Source organism: Homo sapiens, chromosome 7, assembly GCF_000001405.40.
Source record: "Homo sapiens chromosome 7, GRCh38.p14 Primary Assembly".
NCBI classification, from domain to species: Eukaryota; Metazoa; Chordata; class Mammalia; order Primates; family Hominidae; genus Homo; species Homo sapiens.
Window position 1 is genome coordinate 107,921,424 of NC_000007.14, and position 22,285 is coordinate 107,943,708.

At 39.0% G+C, this 22,285-nt stretch overlaps 1 protein-coding gene across 3 annotated transcripts in view, besides 3 other annotated features; it reads right to left on the reverse strand.

Moving 5' to 3' along the window:
• LAMB1 (laminin subunit beta 1) overlaps positions 2,376 to 22,285 on the reverse strand; it is a 79,363-nt gene continuing 59,453 nt past the window's right edge. The window contains exons 25-34 of one of the 3 annotated variants that reach the window (NM_002291.3): positions 18,566 to 18,935; positions 15,670 to 15,854; positions 13,992 to 14,233; positions 10,751 to 10,954; positions 9,933 to 10,077; positions 7,989 to 8,196; positions 7,641 to 7,782; positions 4,760 to 4,936; positions 2,807 to 2,966; positions 2,376 to 2,664 (exon numbers count right to left, since the gene is read on the reverse strand). In NM_002291.3, the coding sequence (NP_002282.2) occupies positions 2,528 to 2,664; positions 2,807 to 2,966; positions 4,760 to 4,936; positions 7,641 to 7,782; positions 7,989 to 8,196; positions 9,933 to 10,077; positions 10,751 to 10,954; positions 13,992 to 14,233; positions 15,670 to 15,854; positions 18,566 to 18,935 (1,970 nt within the window). In that variant the 3' untranslated portion in view covers positions 2,376 to 2,527. Of the gene's footprint in view, positions 2,665 to 2,806; positions 2,967 to 4,759; positions 4,937 to 7,640; positions 7,783 to 7,988; positions 8,197 to 9,932; positions 10,078 to 10,750; positions 11,071 to 13,991; positions 14,234 to 15,669; positions 15,855 to 18,565; positions 18,936 to 21,007; positions 21,197 to 22,285 lie in introns of those variants that run through there. The other 2 variants (XM_047420359.1, XM_047420360.1) reach the window with 2 other exon arrangements.
• Positions 10,369 to 11,016: an enhancer, noted in NCBI's record as "H3K27ac-H3K4me1 hESC enhancer chr7:107572237-107572884 (GRCh37/hg19 assembly coordinates)". NCBI's record gives its function as "activates a minimal SCP1, AML or CMV promoter by ChIP-STARR-seq in naive H9 embryonic stem cells {active_cell/tissue: H9 hESC(naive)}" and the evidence as "EXISTENCE:reporter gene assay evidence [ECO:0000049][PMID:30033119]".
• Positions 11,017 to 11,662: an enhancer, noted in NCBI's record as "OCT4-NANOG-H3K27ac-H3K4me1 hESC enhancer chr7:107572885-107573530 (GRCh37/hg19 assembly coordinates)". NCBI's record gives its function as "activates a minimal SCP1, AML or CMV promoter by ChIP-STARR-seq in naive and primed H9 embryonic stem cells {active_cell/tissue: H9 hESC(naive and primed)}" and the evidence as "EXISTENCE:reporter gene assay evidence [ECO:0000049][PMID:30033119]".
• Positions 11,663 to 12,308: an enhancer, noted in NCBI's record as "OCT4-NANOG-H3K27ac hESC enhancer chr7:107573531-107574176 (GRCh37/hg19 assembly coordinates)". NCBI's record gives its function as "activates a minimal SCP1, AML or CMV promoter by ChIP-STARR-seq in naive and primed H9 embryonic stem cells {active_cell/tissue: H9 hESC(naive and primed)}" and the evidence as "EXISTENCE:reporter gene assay evidence [ECO:0000049][PMID:30033119]".

The following is a 22,285-nucleotide window of genomic DNA, read 5'->3' on the forward strand; positions in this document are numbered from 1 at the left end:
ATAAAAATTAGCCAGGTGTGGTGGCAGGCCCCTGTAATCCCAACTACTCAGGAGGCTGAGGCAGAATCACTTGAACCCAGGAGGCGGTGAGCTGAGATCATGCCACTGCATTCTAGCCTGGCGACAGAGCGAAACTCCGTCTCAAAAAAAAAAAAAAAGTAATTTCAAAGTGAGATCTTTAGTTGTTTAGCTGAAAAGGAATGGAGAGTGTTTCTACTGTTCTAAGTAAAATACTACATAATTGCTCTAGTAGATGATGGGGTATGACCATTTTTGCTAGTTATTGGGATTTTTTTTTTTAATTAAGTTCTGGGGTACATGTGCAGAACATGCAGGTTTGTTACATAGGTATACATGTGCCATGGTGGTTTGCTGCACCCATCAACCCATCATCTACATTAGGTATTTCTCTTAATGCTATCCCTCCCCCACCCCCATCCCCTTGTCCATGTGTTTTCATTGTTCACCTCCCACTTACAAGTGAGAACATGTGGTGTTTGGTTTTCTATTTTTGTGTTAGTTTGCTGAGAACGATGGTTTCCAGCTTCATCCATGTCCCTGCAAAGGATGTGAACTCATCCTTTATTATGGCTGCATAGTATTCCATGGTGTATATGTGCCACATTTTCTTTATCCATTCTGTCATAGATGGGCATTTGGGTTGGTTCCAAGTCTTTGCTATTGTGAACAGTGCCTCAATAAACATACATGTGCATGTGTCTTTATAGTAGAATGATTTATAATCCTTCGGGTATATACCCAGTAATAGCATTGCTGGGTCAAATGGTATTTCTAGTTCTAGATCCTTGAGGAATTGCCACACTGTCTTCCACAATGGTTGAACTAATTTACACTCCCACTAACAGTGTAAAAGTGTTCCTATTTCTCCACAGCCTCTCCAGCATCTGTTGTTTGCTGACTTTTTAATGATTGTCATTCTAACTGGCATGAGATGGTATCTCATTGTGGTTTTGATTTGCATTTCTCTATTGAACAGTGATGATGAGCTTTTTTTCATGTTTGTTGGCTGCATGCATGTCTTCTTTTGAGAAGTGTCTGTTCATATCCTTCACCAACTTTTTGATGGGTTTGAAGTTCTTTGCAAAAATTTTCTCCCATTCTCTAGGTTGCCTGTTCACTCTGATGATAGTTTCTTTTGCTGTGCAGAAGCTCTTTAATTAGATCCCGTTTGTCAATTTTGGCTTTTGTTGCCATTGCTTTTGGTGTTTCAGTCATGAAGTCTTTGCCCATGCCTATGTCCTGAATGGTAATTGCCTAGGGTTTTTATGGTTTTAGGTCTTACGTTTAAGTCTTCAATCCATCTTGAGTTAATGTTTGTATAAGGTGTAAGGAAGGGATCCAGTTTCAGCTTTCTGCATATGGCTAGCCAGTTTTCCCAACACCATTTATTAAATAGGGAATCCTTTCCCTACTGCTTGTGTCAGGTTTGTCAAAGATCAGATTGTTGTAGATGTGTGGTGTTATTTCTGAGACCTCTGTTCTGTTCCATTGGTCTATATATCTGTTTTGGTAACAGTACCATAAAAGTGACAAATTATTGCTTTGGGCCAGAGGAAAGTTATTAACTTACAGCTGTTTACATAACTGTTGTCCAGGCCCAGCTTCAGATGCAGCTGTGTTGGATGTGTGGGTGGTTGTTAAGCAGTCCACAGAATAGTCTTGCTCTAAGAATGTGTGAAAAAAACACATAGGGGCTAGCCTTTTATACAGCTAGTTAGGCAATAAAGTTGACATGGGCCTGGCAATTACTTTCGTTAGATTAGTTGCAAAATCACATAAAATACAATACAAAAGCTGAGAAATTAGAGCATCATTCTGTGCTCTGTAGTATAAAATACAATACAAAAGCTGAGAAATTAGAGCATCATTCCGTGCTCTGTAGTAGCATTGCTCAATTGGCAGGAGCAGTATCCATAAACTCTGGCCTGATTTAACTGAAACCTTCCCCTCAGTAACCCTAGTCCTTTTCTAGGTGGTAATGACTACAAACCCTAGTACATCCTGCTGATTTTCTAAAATGTTGCTTTTTCTCATTCCTAGAGCAAGGAATACTTACTTACAGGAGTTTTGATGGCTGGAGCAACTCAGCAACCATTGAAATAGTGATGGTAGCATAGACTATATTTGTCCTCCTTAACCTCAACCTGGGAATCCCACTGGGAGGTGATTGGGAGGAGGGGAGTCAAGGGTGTGGAGTTTTGGAGGATGTTTACCTGTCAAATAAATATAATAGCTTGTTTATAGACAACATAAATTAGGGTCTTCATGGACGCAGTAAACTTGTTTATAAATCCACGTTTACAGTGAAAAAAGGGATTCATCAACAATCAGTGAAAGTAACAAGTACACCAAAATATATACAAAAGCACTGTACTTTATTTAACTCCATACAAAATGTGATTAAAAACATTAAATAGGTGATGTTTTATTTTGAAGAGCATTAAGTCAGTTTTTAAAATGTAGTTGTTTTACCTTGTTCACCTCAGCCATTTTTTATTCTCCTCTGTTACAAGCATGTGCTATACACAGCAACTTTCTGGCTTATATCCTTTAGGAGTGAACGGACTTCTCCTTCCAGTCTTGCTAATTCTTGAGCTTTATCTTCTAAGTATCTTTGATTGTCTTCATATTTTCTTTCTAAATCTGTGGGGAGATATATATATATAAAGTCTGAGCAATTTATACTATGATGATCTCAAGACAAAGTGAATATATTTTTCACTTTTAAATAAACTATGGATGCCTTAAAGTAATTTAAAAAATAAGCCTGTGTGAAAAGACCCACCTTTGAGCAGTTGCAGCTTGCTATTTGCTTGAGCTAAAAGAGTTTTTGCTTCATTTTGTAGCATTTCGGCTTTCCTTCTGGCATCAGCTGACTCTTCAGTTTTTTTGGCAATTAAATTTTCTACTTTTTTATACTTTTCATCAAGTTCACCATCTAAAGTCTATAGTTCCACATTTAGACAGAAAGAAGTGGTAATGTTAGTGTCAGTAATTACATTTAAGAGCAATAGTGTAATCATGGCATGCATTCTGGATTAAGGGCCACCAAGGATATTCACTGGTAAGTAATTTAAAATTTTATCTTCAAACAGTGGAATTGAATGCAAAATTGACATGATTTTAAAGAACATTTCAAAAAATTCTGGAGTTGCAGCAAATCCTTAGGGCTAAGTCCTCATTCTCCTGATTATTACTTTTCTATAGAAAAGTTGTAGCATAATTGTATTGCAAATTACATAGAGAAGCGCAGATTTTTCAAAAGTAGATTAGACATTAGAGAAGCCCATATTGAAGAAGTGGAGGCTCTTTGGATCTTGACTAAATTAGGATTTGTGAAGACTTGCTTATAAGGAAATCAGAGGAAAAAGATTAAACAAAAGATACAGGAAGGAAAGGTGAGATTGTAGCATATGCAAGAAGTGAGTGAGGAGAAGAGAAATGGGGTGTGGGGTTGGAATGCAAATGATTCTTTTTAGAAACTGTTCAAATAGCCATTTATGGAAATTTCATTTCAAGAGATTTTGTTCCTTTCTCTTGTGATAAAATGTCATTATGCAAAATGCCCTGAAGCAGAGTACTTGAGAAATTTGTGTCCTCAGTACTGCAGGAAACCACACAAACCAAAACAGAAAAGACAGCTGTCTGATATTGTGGCAGTGAACTTTTCTCATTGTTTTGTTCTCTTTCCCAACCTAGAGAGAGGTAGGGAAAGTTACTCTTACGTAATGCCCGAAAAGCTACAGTAACTTCCAGAAAATTTTTGAATAGTAGGGAGTTAAATACTGAAATTAGGTCAGTAAATGCAGGTGCCCCCAGGCCTACGGACCAGTTAGGAACTGGGTGGGCAGGCAAGTATTATTGCCTGAGCTCCACCTTCTGTCAGATCAGTGGTGACATTAGATTCTCATAGGAGCACGAATCCTATTGGGAACTGTGCATGCAAGGGATCTAGGTTGTGCACTCCTTATGGAATCTAATGCCTGATCTGAGCTGGAACAGTTTCATCCTGAAACCATCCCCACCCCCGAGTCTGGAAAAATTGTCTTCCAGGAAACTGGTCCTTGGTGCCAAAAAAGTTGGGGACCAGTGATTCAATGGTTTTAAGCCCCACCCCGGCGCCACCAAGTTTTTAATGTTCTCTTTAGAAATAAGCATTATTGAGAAACTGAACATGTGTTTCAGTTATTACATGGCTTCTGATTAAACATTTGGGTTGTGTGAGTTTTTCTCTGCAAAATATAGTGCCTTCGAATGAGAGGTGAGGGGTAGTTAATTCAAAATGAGTCTCAAAGAGATAAGATTTGGTTTCCTACTACCTGTTCTCTGTTCCAACCTGCTTGTAAAATATTCTCAAATGGCCTGATAATTACTATATGCCATGAAGAATTTAACTGACTACCGCACAGAAATAAAAGTTCAATATGACTGGTTTTTGTCAATATAGTTGGTTTAAAAAAAAAAAAAAAGCCTGTTTTGAGACTTCTACCCCTAAGTTAATTCCGTTCTTCTAAACTCTTGTCCAAATTTGGATTTGAGGACATAGGTCATACTTATTAGATATTTCCATATTCTTTCCCATCCACACTTCTAAAGACGGCTGTTGCAAAACAGGTCATTTGATATTTCTGATGAATTCTGTTTCTGTTAGGTCCATGTCCCTTACTCTAAGGCAGGCAAGGAGGAGACTGGTGGCTCCTTTAACAACATAGCTCTGAAATTACAAAGATTTACGTACCTTCTTAACATCTTCTGCACTTTGCTTCACAGTATATACTACTTTTTCAATATATTCTGCCTCCCCGGAGTTTTGGGCAGCTTTCCGCTTAAGTTCTTCCACATTCCTCTCTAACTCGCTGATGCGCTGGGACGCGTTGAACAAGGTTTCCTCAGAAGCTGCTGTTTCAGACTCAATCTAAAAGCATGTCAATTTTCCAGCAAGACATTAGTTTAAGAAATGGAATTACTATGAGTACAAGTTTGGAGGAAGATTTAAAAGTCTGCTGTGCCATTTTGCTCTAGACCAAAAGAAGTAATTACTAAAAAGAATATTTCAGGAAAAGTTACATGAAGTATCTAACTTTAGTCTTTGCTACATTTCATATATTCACTTCATTCTTTCAGTACTTCTGATGATCTAAGCTGAGATTGATGTAAAATTTTTTCTGACAGTAAAAAAAAACAAAAAACCCCACCTCCCCAAGGAGCATGATGTGTTGAGAAAGCATTTTAAGGACACCTGCAAACTTTGGCTAAAGAACATTCACAAATAAGCAGCTGTGCGAAGAGGGATTTCCACATAAATTTCCAACTTAATGTGAGTGGGAAAATAAATGTTAAACTCTAGTAGTGGAGATTTCAGCTAATTACTGAAGACATGGAGACTAGGGATGTTCTTTGAATTTCTATAGAATTGTGAGATGATGTATGGTCTGGGAACGTTACAGCTGTAAACTCTAAATACACAAAGTTATTTAGGGAAAAAAAAATATCTGGGCAACTGGTGAGGATCCACATCTGATCTCCTTTCAAAGTAGAATCAATAAACATTGACTTTTAAAAGCTAGCCAAAGTAAGCAGTTGAGCCCATGACAAAAGAATCAATTTCACTGAGCACTCAATTTTTCTTTAAAATGATCTTCAAGGATGGGTCTAATTACATAGAATTAACTGAATAACAGTACTGCTATAATGAAGTTAATAAGGGTCAGTATAAGACATAGGCTAAAATTTGTAAATATTTCAAACCTAAGGACCCTTTAATTAGAATAAAATTCTTAGAAATTATAATTCTTAGAAGATAAAGTTTGAGTGAATTGTTTCTGATAAGCTTTCATGAACACAGTTTAGTTAGAGGTTCTCTTTGTTTCTTATTGTTACTAACCTAAAACACTTCCTGCCCCCTAGGGCCCCTGAAAAACAGAACCCCAATTATTAACTTGCATCATCAAGCCACATCTCACCTATAATTCAGTATTTTCTAATTTGCTTTTCAGAACAATTTTTTTCAAGAAACAGGGTCTTGCTATATTTCCCAGGCTGGAGTGCAGTGACTGTTTGTTTACAGGCATGATCATAGTGCACTATAGTCTCAAACTCTTGGCCTTAAGTGATCCTCTCACCTCCACCTCCCAAGTGGCTGGGACTACAGGCACACACTGCTGCACCTGGCTTTCAAAACAATAATTTCTACAGTCACTGACATAATATTCACTAAAATATTAACAGCAAACTGAGAAAATGGAAAAACCTAGAGATCGAAACATCAAAATATTTATAGTCTGGTGGGAAAACATAATTTTTCTAAACTTGAACAAATAGCCTGAAGAAAAAGTCTTATTGATACTCGAAATTTAAGGAGGAAAATGGACAGAATTATTGGCCTTCATTTAACTGACAGCAATAGAATAGGGGAACACAGGTTTTTACCAACTAATGGTAAGAAAAGCATGTTGAAAATTCATCTTCCCAGGTTTTAAACACATGGAGGATTGGCCTGAGAAGGCTGACAATGCTGGGTATGGGAGCATTTAATTTCAAAGTATATTCTGAGAACCTGTATAGGGATTAGATAACTCATCAATTTTCTTCATTTTTTAAAAACTCGTAAAATTGGAACGAAAACATTAACTTTCTGAGAAACAAAAGAATTTAATGGAATTATGTTTGCATTACTTCTTTTAAGAGATAAAGAGGATTTTTAGAGCAAGGTGCTAGATCCCTATGAAAAATTCGTAATGAGTACTTTTAATATCTGGTAGTCACAGTATATTTCTTATAAAAAACATTAAGTTTTCCATGCATTCTAAACAGAACAGATTGTTTAGCTATAAGTGCTCTATTAGGTTTCTCTAGAATTGGGTATTGAAAGCAGACTGACTGTTCTCCCATAGTTTCCAAAACTACTATATAGTAAAATGTTTGATGACCAAAATCTTGAGACATTGGCCTTCTTAACCAGATAAGCTGCTTTATAACATCAGGACAGTTTTCTAAAATTATTATACTTCATACTACTGAACAGAGTATATGCTGTTTCCTCAATGAATAGGAGTGCTTTTTTTTTTTTTGAGATGGAGTCTCTGTTGCCCAGACTGGAGTACAGTGGTGTGATCTCAGCTCATTGCAACCTCGACCTCCCCGGTTCAAGCAATTCTCCTGCCTTAGCCTCCCAGGTAGCTGGGACTACAGGCACACACCACTATGCCCAGCTAACTTTTGTATCTTTAGTAGAGAAGGGGTTTTGCCATGTTGGCCACGCTGGTCTTGAACTACTGACCTCAAATGACCCACCCACCTCGGCCTCCCAAAATGCTGGAATTACAGGCGTGAGCCACCATGCCCGCCCAAGAATAGAAGTTTTTATCTTTCTCAGACTTTGTGGGGGAGAAAATGAGATGGGACGTAATGGTCCAGTGTCTGAATCAGAGTCCTTTTATTCCTTGAAAACCTATCTCCACTTATTTTTAGCATCCATGCTAACGGAGTAGTTTAGATTTATTAAAGGAATCCTTTAATGTTGAGTTGTAAGAATTTCTGTTCATAGATAACAAATGTACTTTTCTGGTAAGTGTATATGTAGGTGTGTTCCCATTCATGTAATGATTGTGTATGCCTACCGAAGTTAACAGGTTCTGGGTTCCTTGAATGTCTTCATCTGCTTGTTTAATTGCCTTCTCTGCTGCGACCTGGGCCTTTTCTGCTTCTTCCAGAGCTTCCTTTACCATATCTGCAGTGACTTTAACATCTGTTGCACTTTTGCTGAGTAAAAAATAATGAGACAGTATATTGTTGCTGAACATGAAAAAAGTACTCTCAGTGTTCTTTTCTTTAAAGAATAGCCTTCCTGAAATGACCCAGAGAGACTCGCATAGGTCCTTCTTAGAAGTTTCATTGGTTAAAGAGATACTTTTTACTCCATGATAGATACACAAAATAAGCCCCTTAGATGCCATGTCTTTAGATACCTTGCTCTTTTAGCTTCTTCTAACAACATCTCAGCTCTGGCAATGTCAGCAGCACTATGCTGAAGAATAACCTCTACTTGAGAAAGGCTTTCAACTCGTTCACGTATATCTTCTGTCAAGTTCTGTAACTGCTGTGGGGTGCTAGGCATCTCCATTTTCAATACTTCATTAGCAACTGCTTCAATGCTGTCCAAATCAGCACTATCCTCTGTGAAAAGCAAAGATGTCCCCAAAAAGAGGTGAAAAGAATAGATGGTTCATTCATTCAACCACTTACTGGTCATCTACTATGGACTAGCATGGTGGGGTTACACACCAAGAGACACTAACTTCCTGTTTAAGAGTTTATAATCTATCTGGGATTTTGAGGGGAGATGAGACCTACACACACAAAAAAGTAACTGCAGACAATTGAGTACTACTAGAATTTGTTTTAGGCTGGGTAGTGAGGGAAACCTTCGTGGAAGATGAGGAGCTGATCAGATTTTAAGGGATAATAGAATTTGAAAGAAGAAAGGACAATTCCAGATGGGGAGACAGGAACGGCAGAGTATGTTACGGGAAAGTATAGCAGAGTGAATCTGAACATTGTGGAAAACCATAGAGGGCCAGAGCTTAAAGCTGAGACTTAAAGGCAATGAAATCTTTTAATTGAGGTTGGACGAATAGCTCAGAAACTTGTGAATGCAGATATGGAGATTTGATATTTCCTACAAATGATCTAGATTCAGGAAATTATAGAAAGGGAGAAAATTATAGAAGCAGGAGAACCGGAATAATGGGTTGTCAACAAAGCCAAGGAGTTTCAAATGTAAAATGTGGAAGATGGTGAAAAAAAAAGTTTATGAAGTTAAGCTTCAAATACGTCAGATCCTCATTTACTTTCAAGCTTTGCTTATGTTTTAAACTATTGAACATAAAAATGGACCCCAGAGGATTTATTCAAATAAAATATGTACTTGAATGATGGCTTCCATAAAATATTACCTAAGATATCCTTAGCAAATACTGTTGACTCCTTATTAGCCATGCCTTTTTTCTTGCTAACAGAATACTGATTTTTTTTCAGGTACCTGCCTCTAAGTCAGGTAAAATTATCAACCCAGCATTAAATATTAGTTTGTGAATTACTGTAATCGCATTTCCATTTTCCAGTGACATTTATGCATTGGCATGTGACTTATTGCTGGCCAGTGAGGTTTATAAGGATGACTGCTTAAAGGCTTCTAGGGAAGACTTCCTCCTTTTTAAAAAGATGCAAGGAATAGGTGGTCTCTTCTTCCATTATTAATCTTTATATGATGTCTGGAACTTTGGCAGCTACCTTGTAACCATGAGGAGCTAGAGGACAAAGCTGATATGCTTAAGATGGTAGAGTAGAAAGATGAAAAGTATGTGGGTCGCAGACCCAGGAAGCTATCCTGCTACTGGATATCTTATTAAGATGTGAGATAATAAACATCCTTTTTGATTAAGTCCCTTTCACTTGAGAGTTTTCTGTAATTTGCAGCCAAAACCATCTTTACTGGTAACACTTGAACTGTGACTAGCAACACTCTTAACTAACTATAGGTATAATATCCTGTAAATAATAGAATTACAAAGCTTTGGGGGCAATGCCAAAATAACAAACTCCACTTCTTTAAGGTTAGAAATTACTATACGTAATTTCTAACAAATTCCACGTTCAATTTTCAATGTAAATATTTGACTTTTGATTGGCTACCTGAGTATCCCATCAGGTGTGTCTGTATCTGCGTAACATTGGAGAAAGTTATTTGATACACATATATAAGTTTAAGAAGTGGAAACATTTAATATACGGACGTTTTTCTTATTTGGAAATGTCACTTAGTACCCTGACAGAAATGGATTTTATCTAAAATGTAAACAGAGAATCACACAGAAACAAATGTCTAAAAGTAAAATGAAAAAATTTCTTACGGGTCAAAAAGTTTCTGATTTGCTTGATTAGATTTCTCAGCTCCTCATTGCTCTTGTCCATTTTTTCTTTGGTAGCATTTGTCTTCAACAGAATGTCTTCAGCACTTTGTTTTGCCTCATCTGCCCTCAGTTTTGCTTCAGAGACCTAAATATGAAGAATAAATTACCCAGGGAAGACTTTCATTCTTTCTAAAGGAGACCAGAATATTGGAAATGGCTCAAAAATGATGTTGAAAAACTATGTACTTGGAATCATATGTCTGGGAAACAACTTTCTCCCATTCAACAAAGTATTGTATCTTACAGACTGCAAGTATTCAGTATAGAGATTCCTAAACAGTATTCTGATATAAATAGAACTAGCATTTAAAATTTTTCAAGTTGTTTTTTAACTCCTGGCCTATAAAATAGTCCTGAGTCTTTTTCTCAGGTGCCCACATAAATACTTAAAAAGTGTGTGTCACTTTAGAAGAATAAATGCTCAATTGCTTAGTATAGAGTTTTTGTCATACAGCTGGATGTATTTATAACCCTGGAGTCAGAAAAGTAAGATGGCTATCTCAAATTATCCAGTATAAGATTTAAACATCTTGCTCTAAAGCATGTGTTGAGTGAGGAGAAAGCAAATTCTTTATCTGTGAAGAAAATCTCCCCATCTCTTTCTCTGACCTCACAGAAACATGAACTTTCATATTTGATTGTGATATGCCCTTTTCATTTCAGTTAGCATTTAGAATTGATTTCTCCCTTTCAGATCCTTTAGTCCACAGCTGAAAGCAAACATACATAACAAAAACTGAGGCCATCCACTGAGTTACCATCTTGGAGAGCTGTTCCACTTCAGCCAGGGCACTCAGGACATCTTGGTCCAAGTCCATGGCTTTCTGCCAGGCGTTGTGTGCAACAGTAACCAGACCACCACAGCCAGGCCCCCCACACTTCCTCTCTCCTTCGTCAGTTCTGCAGTTTGGCCCGCCACATTCAGTCTCGGAACAGGAGGCCCCTGGGGGTGTTCCACAGGTCTGCAACAAGCCAAGGATCAGGCACAATACTTCGGATAGTGAATCTGCTGCAGCAAAACAGCTGTGCAGGGCCTGGGTGGCCCCAGAGAATGTGTAGGTGGTCCTCAGCAAGGGTGCTTGAAAACAGTGTTTGGGAGACAGAATGGAGAGAGGAGCAGAGAGTTTAGGAGTAAACTAACCTGCTTATTTCCAAGGAAACAATGGAAGTTTACAACTCATCAATATCTTCTGCCCAAATGAGTTAAAATACTATATGAGCTCTGCCCAGGATGCAAACATCTGCTATATCAAGTTGAATTCTGCCAGTGCAAGGGCCAAGGAATGCCTTCCTTTTTTTCTAACCAGTTAGAGTTTAAAAAAAAAACCTATTGTGAACCATCTTTGGGACCAGCACCAGCACCATGTTAACTCCTCCAGTAAATATGGTGACATAAAAGATCTATTACCTAGCGTTTTAGTAACTTCCCATCTAGTTAGGACTGGATCATTCCACATAAAATAGCCAAGAATAGGTCAGATGCAGTCACTATGAAAGAAAGTAGACAAAGGAGAGACTGCAGAGGAATGCTACAGTTGTAGCTGAAGAAGCTGTTGGCTGGTGGGATTTGAGCAGGGGAAGTGGGAAAACATTCCACAGGTTAAAGAAAACAGTACAAACAAAGGAACAAAGGTAGATGAAGTGTTCCCAAATTACCACCCCCGACTGCCATCACACATGCATAGAGTCCTCCTTTCTTACCTACCAAAACCTCTCAAAGATCACCACTTGGTCATGGCATACAAATGCAAATTGATAAATTATAATACAAGTGTGCTATATGATAGAAAAGGCTGAGCAGGGAGAAAATTGCATTTAGAGCTGTTTGTGGAAATTCTCATACTGAAAAGAAGACAAAGATTTACTGCAGTGAAAAGGAGTTAACAGAATATTCCCAAACAAGTATTGTTATTAAAAAGTACAAAAAAGTAGTTTTTAAATAAATACAATCAACTATTTAGCCTAATAATTTTAAGATAATTATAATTCCATTATATCTCAAATTACAACTAAATAAGTCATTTATCTGGCTTACAAAAACAAAAAGCTTCAGAAAATAAAGTGTATTCTGCATGCTGTAAAACATGAGTCTTAAGAACATAAGTGTAAAACCTCGGTTGCTTTCTAAAAACAATCTGACAGCACACATAGAAGATCTGTTTTGTTTCAACAGATGGGGCAGACATGGAAAAAAAAAAACACAGTATGGCTCTAGCTAAACATCCACAAAGATACAGAACTAGAAGTACCTGAAAAACAAAAGGACAAAACTCTCTCTACACAAGGAAATGGCAGTAAAGAACTTACAGAAAGAATTCTCACAGGATCATTAACAAAGACAAAAACACAGTAAGAGAACTGAAGCAGCTGCTAATCCCTAGGTAGTTTACCAGGTGGAAAAGCAAGCACAGGGAAGGGCACACATTTGAAAGGCCAGAGGAACCCCGAACCCCACCCACCGCCCATGCATCTCCCTGCCGCCCACGGAGATGCCTCCGGTTCAAGACAAAAATCCTTTAGCATGCTTAGCTGTTTCTTGTAGGTCACACAGAACTTGTTTGTGATAACTGATTTTTTTTTTTTAACTACAATATGTAAGGAAGGAATCAATGCTGAAGGGAAAGATGGAGAGAATTGGCATTTCATGCTTCATAACTTTGTCTCCTGTTAGCTGCAATTTACACATTGCTCTAAGCCTTCATTTTTCTTTTTTCTTCATCTTTTATTTTTCCATTTAATAAATGACAGATTATTTGCTCCCTATTTGCTATAAAGTTTCAGAAGATAATGAGTATGAAACCTAGCAGGCATCAATAAACACTGTCTTATATTGTGACCAATTTTGTCTATTTCAGAGAAAGTGATGAGAGGAGGGAGGAAGCATCACTAAGACAAAGCTGTAATGAAGTTTGAACTCTTCTGCGCCTATGTACCTTCCATCTTTAACTTTCTCTGTGTCTCTGGGCTAAGAGAACACAAACCTTAGTCTATAAAAAATACCCTCCAAATTATTTCACATAGGTATCCTTCCTTGAAAACACAGGAAGGAAGAGGAAGAAACAGGCTCAGTTAGGCTTTTTTGGGGCCTTCTGCCTGATTTTCATTAAACTCACAACCCAATTTCATTTGGCTCCAGAGTTCCTTTTTAAAAGCTTCTGGGAAATGAATCTACTTTCTAGGCTGGTTTCAGGGTTAATCTTCACCAGGTAAAGTTACTGGAACAAAGGAACATAATAGCTAATACCCGTGAAAAAATTCTTTTGCTCCCTTTAATTTTTAATGGAAGCCCCTTCTAGAATGACTCTGAATTCCTACACTGAGATGGGTTTTATAATTCAAATCAGAACAAACTAAAAAAGGAATGTCCAAGCTGGGTGTGGTGGCACATGCCTGTCATCTCAGCTACTCAGGAGGGTGAGGTGGGAAGATCGCTTCAGCCTAGGAGTTTGAGGTCAGCCTGGGCAACGTAGTGAGACTCCATCTCTTTAAAAAAAAAAAAAAAAAAGCGGGGGTGGGGGTGGGCTGGGGTGTTAGCCTGTAATCCCAGCACTTTGGGAGGAGGCTGAGGTGAGAGGAGGATTGCTGGAGACCCGGAGTTCAAGACTAGCCTGAGCAATGTAGTGAGACCCTGTCTCTACTTAGGAAAAAAAATATTAAAGAAATGTCCACAGTGTAAAAAGGATCAAGTTTCAGTGCGGTGTCACTGAGTAGCTAAAACAGTATGGGAGAATAGTCATGATTCATTCTTTAGTTGAGGACCACAGAGAAACAGAAGAGGGGAAGGCTGGAAACCCATATGCTGCTGCTTTTAATCTGTCTTGGTTACAGATACCCCATTCCAGGATCCAGAGACCTCAGCCTAGGAGTTTCAGTCCTGCTGATTCATTTGCAAATTATTGTAATAATGACAAAAGATGGTTTGTTTTTCTTTGTTTTTTTTTTTTTTTTTTTTTTTTTTGCTTGGCACCATAGCAGTAAGGCCACATCCCCAAACCTTACCATTTCGGCAGCGGCTGAAAGGTCTAGGCTTTGTAGCTTGCCTGCCAGTTCATCAAGGAGGCGAGCCTGCTCCTCTTGTTTTTCCTTGAACTGGGATTCTCGCTCCATCATCACGTCTTCTACTCTGTCTCTCATGAGGGCTGACTGCTCCACAGTGCTGTTGGGTTCTGTGGTGGAGGCATTCACCCTCTCCTCTGCCTCAAGAGACATCTGGAAATACTTGGTAATGCTATCCAAGGCACCTAGGGTAGGAAATGAAATTGCCCACAGTTAACCTCATCATACTAGGCTTCCTCCCCAAGCAGTGTCTATATTTGGTGTCTTCGGGTCCTAAATTTACTGTAAAGTTTTAAAATTCAAGAAAAAATATTTATGAAGTACAGTTTTCATGAGCAATGAATATGTTTTGTCCCATTAGCACCTACTCCAGCTCGAGTATGGCAAACATCTGGGTGAAAAATGAAAAATTAAGAAAATCATGCAATCTTGTTTCTATACACAAGCAAACATCCAGTTCTTTATAAATAGCTGGTTTCAGGCAGCCTGAAGATTATATGACTAGATGACTTTTCTCAATCCTTTATTCGGATCCACTCAAATGACTAATATAGTAGCCCTCCATATTTGTAGGTTCCACATATGTGGATTCAACCAACTGTGGATGGAAAGCATTTGGAAAAAATGGTTGTATCTGTACTGAATGTGTACAGACTTTTTTCTTGCCATTATTTCCTAAACAATAAAGTATAACAACTATTTACATAGCATTTACATTGTATTAGGTATTGTAAGTAATCTACAGATTACTTTTAAATATACTGAAGGGAAAAAAAGAAAAAAGTAAAGCTGGGTGTGGTGGTTCACCTCTATAATCTCAGCTATTCAGAAGTCTGAGACGGGAGGATCACTTGAGTCCAGGAGTTCAAGACCAGCCTGAGCAGCATAGCAAGAGCCCATCTCTTAAAGAAAGAAAGAAAGAGAGAGAGAGAAAAAGAAAGAAGTATATAGGAGGATATGCATAGGTTATATGCAAGTGCCATTTTATATAACGGACTTGACCACCTGTGGATTTTGGTTTCTGCAGTGGGTCCTGGAACCAATCCCCCATGGATACCAAGGGATGACGGTATTATATATAACAGCATGACATGTTTTTAGCTTTAGTCCAAAAGCAATCATGCATAAAACAGTATGGATAGTTGGACAGTATGATGTAACATATTTCTACATTCACTTTTTGCTGAGGATCCTTTACAGTCTATGATATAAATAATGATTTGCAAAAGTTTTTTTCTGACCAAGCAGCATTCTTGAATGTGAAAGGATTTGCAGAAGTATTAATACCTTAACTATTCAAAAGAACCCCCTTCCAAGAAAAGGCCAGGGGATTAAACTACTAACTGGAGGGAAAAAAAAAAAATCAGGAAATGGATACCATTCTGATACAACTACTGCCATTCACTCTGTGGGACCTTTGCTATGTCTCTTAGGTTCTCTGTGCCCAAGTCCCACATTTGTAAAATGGGGACTTTGATCCTCATTTGTGCCAGAAACTGGATGAGCAAAAGTTTTAAAATTTATTAGAAAACTTTTTTTTTTCCCCAAAAGTGCTATATTAAAACGTTAGACATATCGTTAAATCCATTGTCTGGGACTATTTGCACCAAAAAATGCTCACCCCGAATATCTGAGTTTTTGATAAATTCCAGTTGTTCAGCAAGTTCTTTCACAGTGTTGTCTAGGCTTTCGGCTTCTGTCTGTAGAGAATCCAGTTCTTTGGCTGTGCTGTTGCTTTGGGAAGTTGTGTCAGATAATTTCACTTCTACTTGAGCCATCATTTCTGTAACATCTTTAATCAGTTTCCTGTAAAGAGAAAGTTAAGCTTACTTACATAAAATAAACCCAAGGGAGAACTTTCACGTTTCATATTTTCTACTAGTACTGTATCCATTACTAATTTCAAACCAATTCAGTAATTTGTAACATTTCATCCCTAAGTGCTAGTTTTATTTTCCTTATAACAGATAGTATTAAATCTAACAATTTTTCTTTGTTCAATGACTTTTGAGAGAAACACAGAAGTACCACTCAGCTGAGTTGTGGCAGACAAGCCATTTAAGGGATTCCAAATTTCTGCTGTAAGATGAGCACAGGTCAGAGTGTGGAGTTCTGGCTCTATTCACAGGCAGCTTCAAGCCCTTACAATTGTGAAAACTGAAGACATAAATGACTCCAGTTATACAATTAGGCCTCCCAGCCACAAGCCCAAAACATTCTTCCCTAAGCCTCAGGGATCTCCTTCAAGATGGAACATGCAGAGGGGAAGCCCTATAGCCTGCCACAAAGACAACAGGAGCCACCAGTATCAGCTTTCATACACTCCTCTCTTCCGTCAGAGGGGCCTCCTTCTACCAACAGCCTTTTTATTTTTTATAAGAAAATAGCATCTACTAAGAATGAAATAAGAAGATTTAGCTTTCACAGTATTTAATTTGGAATCTAAACTGCATTTTGTTCTGTACTTTCAAACCTACAAAGCCGTACTTTTGACATCTATTTGTATATTATTGTGTACATAGTGTGGATATGGGTGTGTGTGTGCACATGCGAGTGTGCTCCAGGTGGGTGTGGGTAGGGTTGTATGTGTATTGTAAAGAAAGTAATATTTGAGCAGATTTTACCTCTGGGTATTACTGGTTCACCTAATTGAATGTAATTGTCTTCTTGGCGATATAATAGTATAAAAAACCAGGAAAATGTAAAGATGCTGAAAGGTTGGGAGCCATTAGAAAAATGATATGTAAGGCTGAGATAAAACTATAACCCAACTCAAAGAAAAAGTACTTAAAGGGATGGTTTAAAATGGTAGATTAAATTACATTTCAGTGCCTTTTTTTCCTGAGGCTAATATACATAGTTTCTTTTTTCAGTGCTTTGCTTTTATTAATTATATGACTCACAGAAGGCTTTCATTTCTTCTCAGGTCTCATAAAATGATACAATTTTTTTTAAAACAAGCAAATCTAACATCGTATTTTAAAATAAGGCCACTTTGGTTCCTAAAACATGTATCCTTGGATAGTATGTTGAAAAAAAAGAGTAATGGAACTAGTTTTCCTGTGATTATTACAATCTGTCTAGTTAAATGAATAGTGACGGTAGAAACAGAGCTGTTTTGGGAATGTAATCTCTCTTCTGGCAGGCTCTCAAAGGACACCAGATTTTTTTCTTCCTCCCAGAGATGCCTAAGACCCAGGCCAAGGATCATTTCCTAAATGGGCTTGCATTCGGACCACGGCCTGCCAAAACTGTGATCTCTGCACATTAGGAGGCTTAGTCTTTTCAGTGAGGTAAAATGCCTCACTAAATGCATTGTCACTCTACATCAGACGTTTCCTAACACTCTGGCCAGCTACATGGTCTTGGGCATAAAACCCAAGGCTTGACATCAAGGTCCAGTTACTTTAAATCTAGGTCTAGGAAGGACCTCCTTCAAGTCGCTTGAGCTAATGTCAGCTGTCCTCTGCTACTCATGCCTGGTATGAGATGAAAAGTCCCTCTGGCTTCTTAAAGGTGCTGATTAAAGTCTCATCACACACAAAAAATGTTACTGTCATTTCGTCATATAAACACCTCAGTGTGCAGGATTTAACTGTGAAGCAGTCCCCTCAGGCCTAGATGGTGAGTCTGCAGTGAAAAAACCATAGCATCTAGGGAAGCACAGATGCCTCATACCCTTTTCTATTTTTGTCCTTTAGCACTTAGGTCTTATTGTGCTGTTTTGGGGGTTCCTTTTTGGCAAAAGGAGTTGGGAAGTTTAGGGGCAAGAGAGGGGAGGTAGGAGAAAGGGTAGATAAATGATCCTTGAGAAGGTCAATTCTCTAGGCTTCCACTAACAAACACTGTCCAATCAGAGGGAAGATTACCTAGAGAAGGGGTGGGATGAGGACTTTTCAGCATAGAGCAGCTGTTATAACTAGATGAATGAAGCACTGGTCTGGTGGACTAATGGCGGAGAAGCAGAAAAAACTTGAAGTAAGCAGTCTTATTTTGAGGTAATGGAATTTCCCCCATAGTAGCAATACTTAATTTATAATTTTCTGCAATCCTGTTGTTATTTTATATATAAATCCTTTCATTACTTCATAAGGTAATGGCATATATTATCCTACCCCTTCTCCACAGGAGAGAAAATACAGGCTCAGGAATTGAGTCATCCAAGTTCACAAGCCTAGCATCAGAGCCAAGACTCAATTATGGATCTTTGTCTTCTAAATCCAGCATTCCTCCCATTTTACTGACTTAGAACATGATTTGCAAGGAGGAGCACTGAATATAATGCTTGCATATTCTGTACTGCAGCCTCCAGAAGGCTGGTCCCCACTGATGTGCCAACGTTCACTCACCCAAATGCCCAGTCAAGACTGCTGGAAAATAAATGGCTCAGAATCTGTTCTCACCCACAGGACTAACAAAACCTCCTGATGGAAGCACCATGCCAGGAAATCTTTGCTGTTAACTCACAATATTTTTTCAGCTTTATGAGTAATTCCTCTGGCTCATTAACTACTTACTCTGCTTCCTCAAAGAGATTCCCAATGTTTTTCAGTGGCTCTGCTGCGGGGCTCTGCGCCAGGATGTCTTTTATCTCGCTGACTTTCCTCTCCACCGAGTCCACAGTCTCACGGTAAGGCCCGATCACACCACTGATCTTCAAGGCCTTGGCTTTCTCCAGGAATCTGTGTGTCCTGTTGGTCAGCTCGGCAATGATCACATCCCAGAGAGCAAAGCACTGGTGGCAGGGTGTGCAGTCAGGGAAGACCCCCGAGTACCCTCGCGTGCACTTGTCACAGCGTGGACCCTCAACACCCTCAACGCAGACACACTGGCCCGTGGACTGGTCACACTGTGGCGTCTCAATGCCCCTGGGGTCACAGTCACAGGCTAGAAGGGAATAAGCAATGCTAGCTGATCTACTTAATCATGAACCTCAGTGACAAGATGTGGCATTTAGAATACTCACTTCACTGTGAAAATGGGAAGGTGTCAACCATCGACAACAATTGACCAATGGCTCAGGTAGAGACTGTAGCAGCTTCCTCTAGCACATGCGTGACTTCAGTGGTTGCTAACCCCTTCTTAGCAGTAATAATACTTTAAACAGAAATGTTTTATATGAATGATCCCATTTAACTCTCACAATAACCCTATGGGATACGTGTTATAATAATCACTATTTCACAGATGTGGGAACTCAGAGATCAGAGAGATTATGTAACATGCCCCAAGTCTCACTGCAAGGAAAAGGCCACGCCAGAATTCTGATTCAGTTCTTTGCAACTCCGGAGTCTATACTCTTCACCTCCGTCCTGCCTTTGCCTCCCCCTTACTTAGGATTTCCCCACAGACCATGTCTGTACAAACAATCCAGGTTACATCCTGATAATGTGCCACCTGGCATCGGATACATCACAAATGAGAAGCTCTTTACGTACCTGACTCTATCTCACAACAAAACATACTTGATGAAATGCAATAAACATGATCAAAACAAAACAAAACCCAAAGGAATTCTAAGTATCCAGTTTAAAGGCTTTCAACTAAGTATAATCTAACTTGGGGGTGTCTGCCATTGTGATGACCACTGCCAGTACTACAAGCAGGGATCTTGGGAGCCATTCAGTCTCAGCGTCTCACAGGCCCAATAGGGTTGGCACCTCATGCAAAGCCAAATGGCACAGGAAAATCACGTGCCGTACAGGACAAAATGTGTTCTTGGCCAGTAGCTGTGGCTGAGATTACTTAGCACAGTGGCTGTGCCCTTGAACCCTGGCTTAGATTCCCAAATTTCAGGTGACCAAATCATTTTTATATCAACATCTGACATTTGAAAGTATTTATACAGGGTTTGAATTACGAAAGGCCTTATGCTAACATCTTATCGCTGGGCTTCCACCCATTCTGAGGAAAGACAGGAATAAATAAAGAATATACTATCTTATTTCCCTAACTGGATTGTGGACTCCAAGGGCAGGGGCACATCTTAAACCATTTTTCGTTTTTCAGCATCGGACTCAGGGTTAACTTGCAATCAGAATCCAAACGTCTTTGCCAAATGAAGCCCTAACCTCATTTTAGTCTAGGCATGCAAGGACACTTACATACCTTCATAAAAGAAAATAATCCTCCTGAAGTGCAATGTCAACTGTGGCAAAGCACAACAGATTCATGCTTTCTCGGATTTTTTTTTTTTTTTGAGACGGAGGTTTTGCTCTTGTTGCTCAGGCTGGAGTACAATGGCGCGATCTCGGCTCACTGCAACCTCTGCCTCCTGGCTGGGTTCAAGCAATTCCCCTGCCTCAGCCTCCCGAGTAGCTGGGATTACAGGCATGCGCCACCACACCCGGCTTTTTTTTTTTTTTTTTTTTTTTTTTTTTTTTTTTTAAGAGACGGTGTTTCTCCATGTTGGTCAGGCTGGTCTGGAACTCCCGACCTCAGGTGATCTGCCTGCCTTGGCCTCCCAAAGTGCTGAGATTACAGGTGTGAGCCACTCTTGGGTCAATAGCTGTGATTTGCCTCTGAAAAACTTTTTTTTTTTTTGGAAGAGTCTCACTCTGTCTCCCAGGCTGGAGTGCAGTGGCATGATCTCGGCTCACTGCAACCTCCACTTCCCGGGTTCAAGCTATTCTGCCTCTGCCTCCTAAATAGCTGGGACTACAGGCATGCACCACCATGCCCAGCTAATTTTTGTATTTTTAGTAGAGACGGGGTTTCACCATGTTGGCCAGCATGGTCTCCATCTCTTCACCTTGTGATCCGCCCACCTTGGCCTCCCGAAGTGCTGGGATTACAGGCGTGAGCCACCGCGCCCGGCCTTCCTCTGAAAAACTTTCTAATGGAACATCTCCCAGAACCAGTTATACTGAGGGTCCTGAGATCTGCTATAACATCACCATCCTTTCAACCCAGAGGTGTGTGTTTGTGGCCCATTCATTTGGCCCTCACCACATCCTGCCTTGTATTGCTAGTTTATCTTTTTATTGTCTTTGTTCTCCCCCTACATTCCAAGCTCTCGAGTGGCAGGTTTGAGGAGTACAGCATTATGGTTAAGAGCATGAACTGCGGACTGAGGTGGTAAATCCTGCCTTCTCCACACATGTTATGTGACCCTGGGTAATCAGGAAACTGAGTCACGTCTTCCACATCTGTAAGAAGAGGTAATGATTATAAATACAGGACTGCTTTCAAGATAAAATAATTACAAAGTGCTTAGAAGAGCATCTGGTCTATAGCAAGCATTCAATAAATAAATTGTTTTTATTATCACTTTTCGTGTCCCTACAAGTGTCTGGTAGTCTTCTGCTAAGAGTGATGCTTGATCGTATTTCCATTGGATAAAGGGGAAAAACGTGTTCCGGTTATATGTTTATTTATATGTATTTGCCAATAACGTCATGATTATTCAAAAATTTGAAGTTTAGAATATTAATTCCTCAACCTTTAGGATTTTAAAACATGTAATTTCCTTAGCGCCTGGGGTTTTCAAAACCAAGACCTTAGGATTTCAAAAGTAAAACTTGGGTGTATGCTTTTCAAAAAACAGATCCTTTCCAGGTACTTAAAGTATGTTTCATTTTTCTTGTTTGGGGAATATTCTCGTAATGAATCAGGAAGCTGTTTAGGCAAACCATGGATAACTTTAATGGTGATCCGTAGACCATACGTTCTATGATGTGTTCCTTGAAAAAACTATCCCATGATGAAAAGTTCTGTATCCTTATCTTGAAGATTAAAAACAAGTGTCAGCATATTACAGACTCAGAAGAGTTCTGCAGGAAAAACTGTTTTATATTGTTTTTATCCAGTTGTATGTATGCCAAAGTCATTTGACCATGGGATCTTTTTTTAGTGGAAGTCAATGCCAGTGACACCCAAGAGAAATAATGAGAAAGGCTTGGGAAAACCACTACATTAATCGATTTCTGAGATTAGGAAGAACTTAGATAACTTACAAATAACTTAAATAACTTAGTACCTTAAGAGTTTATGTTGTTTAGATTTTAGGAATACATTTCCATTATCATTTGGTAAAATTTAGTCATCTTCCAGAAAGCTAAAAGTTACCCCCGAGTCACCTGGGTCCTCACCTCTCAAACTTGGGTAGGTATCAGAATCACCTGGAAGGTTCATAAAAAACAGATTGCTTCTCTACTCTCCTCCCATCCCCAGATTCTGATTCAGTAGGTCTGGGTGGGGCCCAGAACTATTTTTATTTCTATCACGTTCCCAGGAGA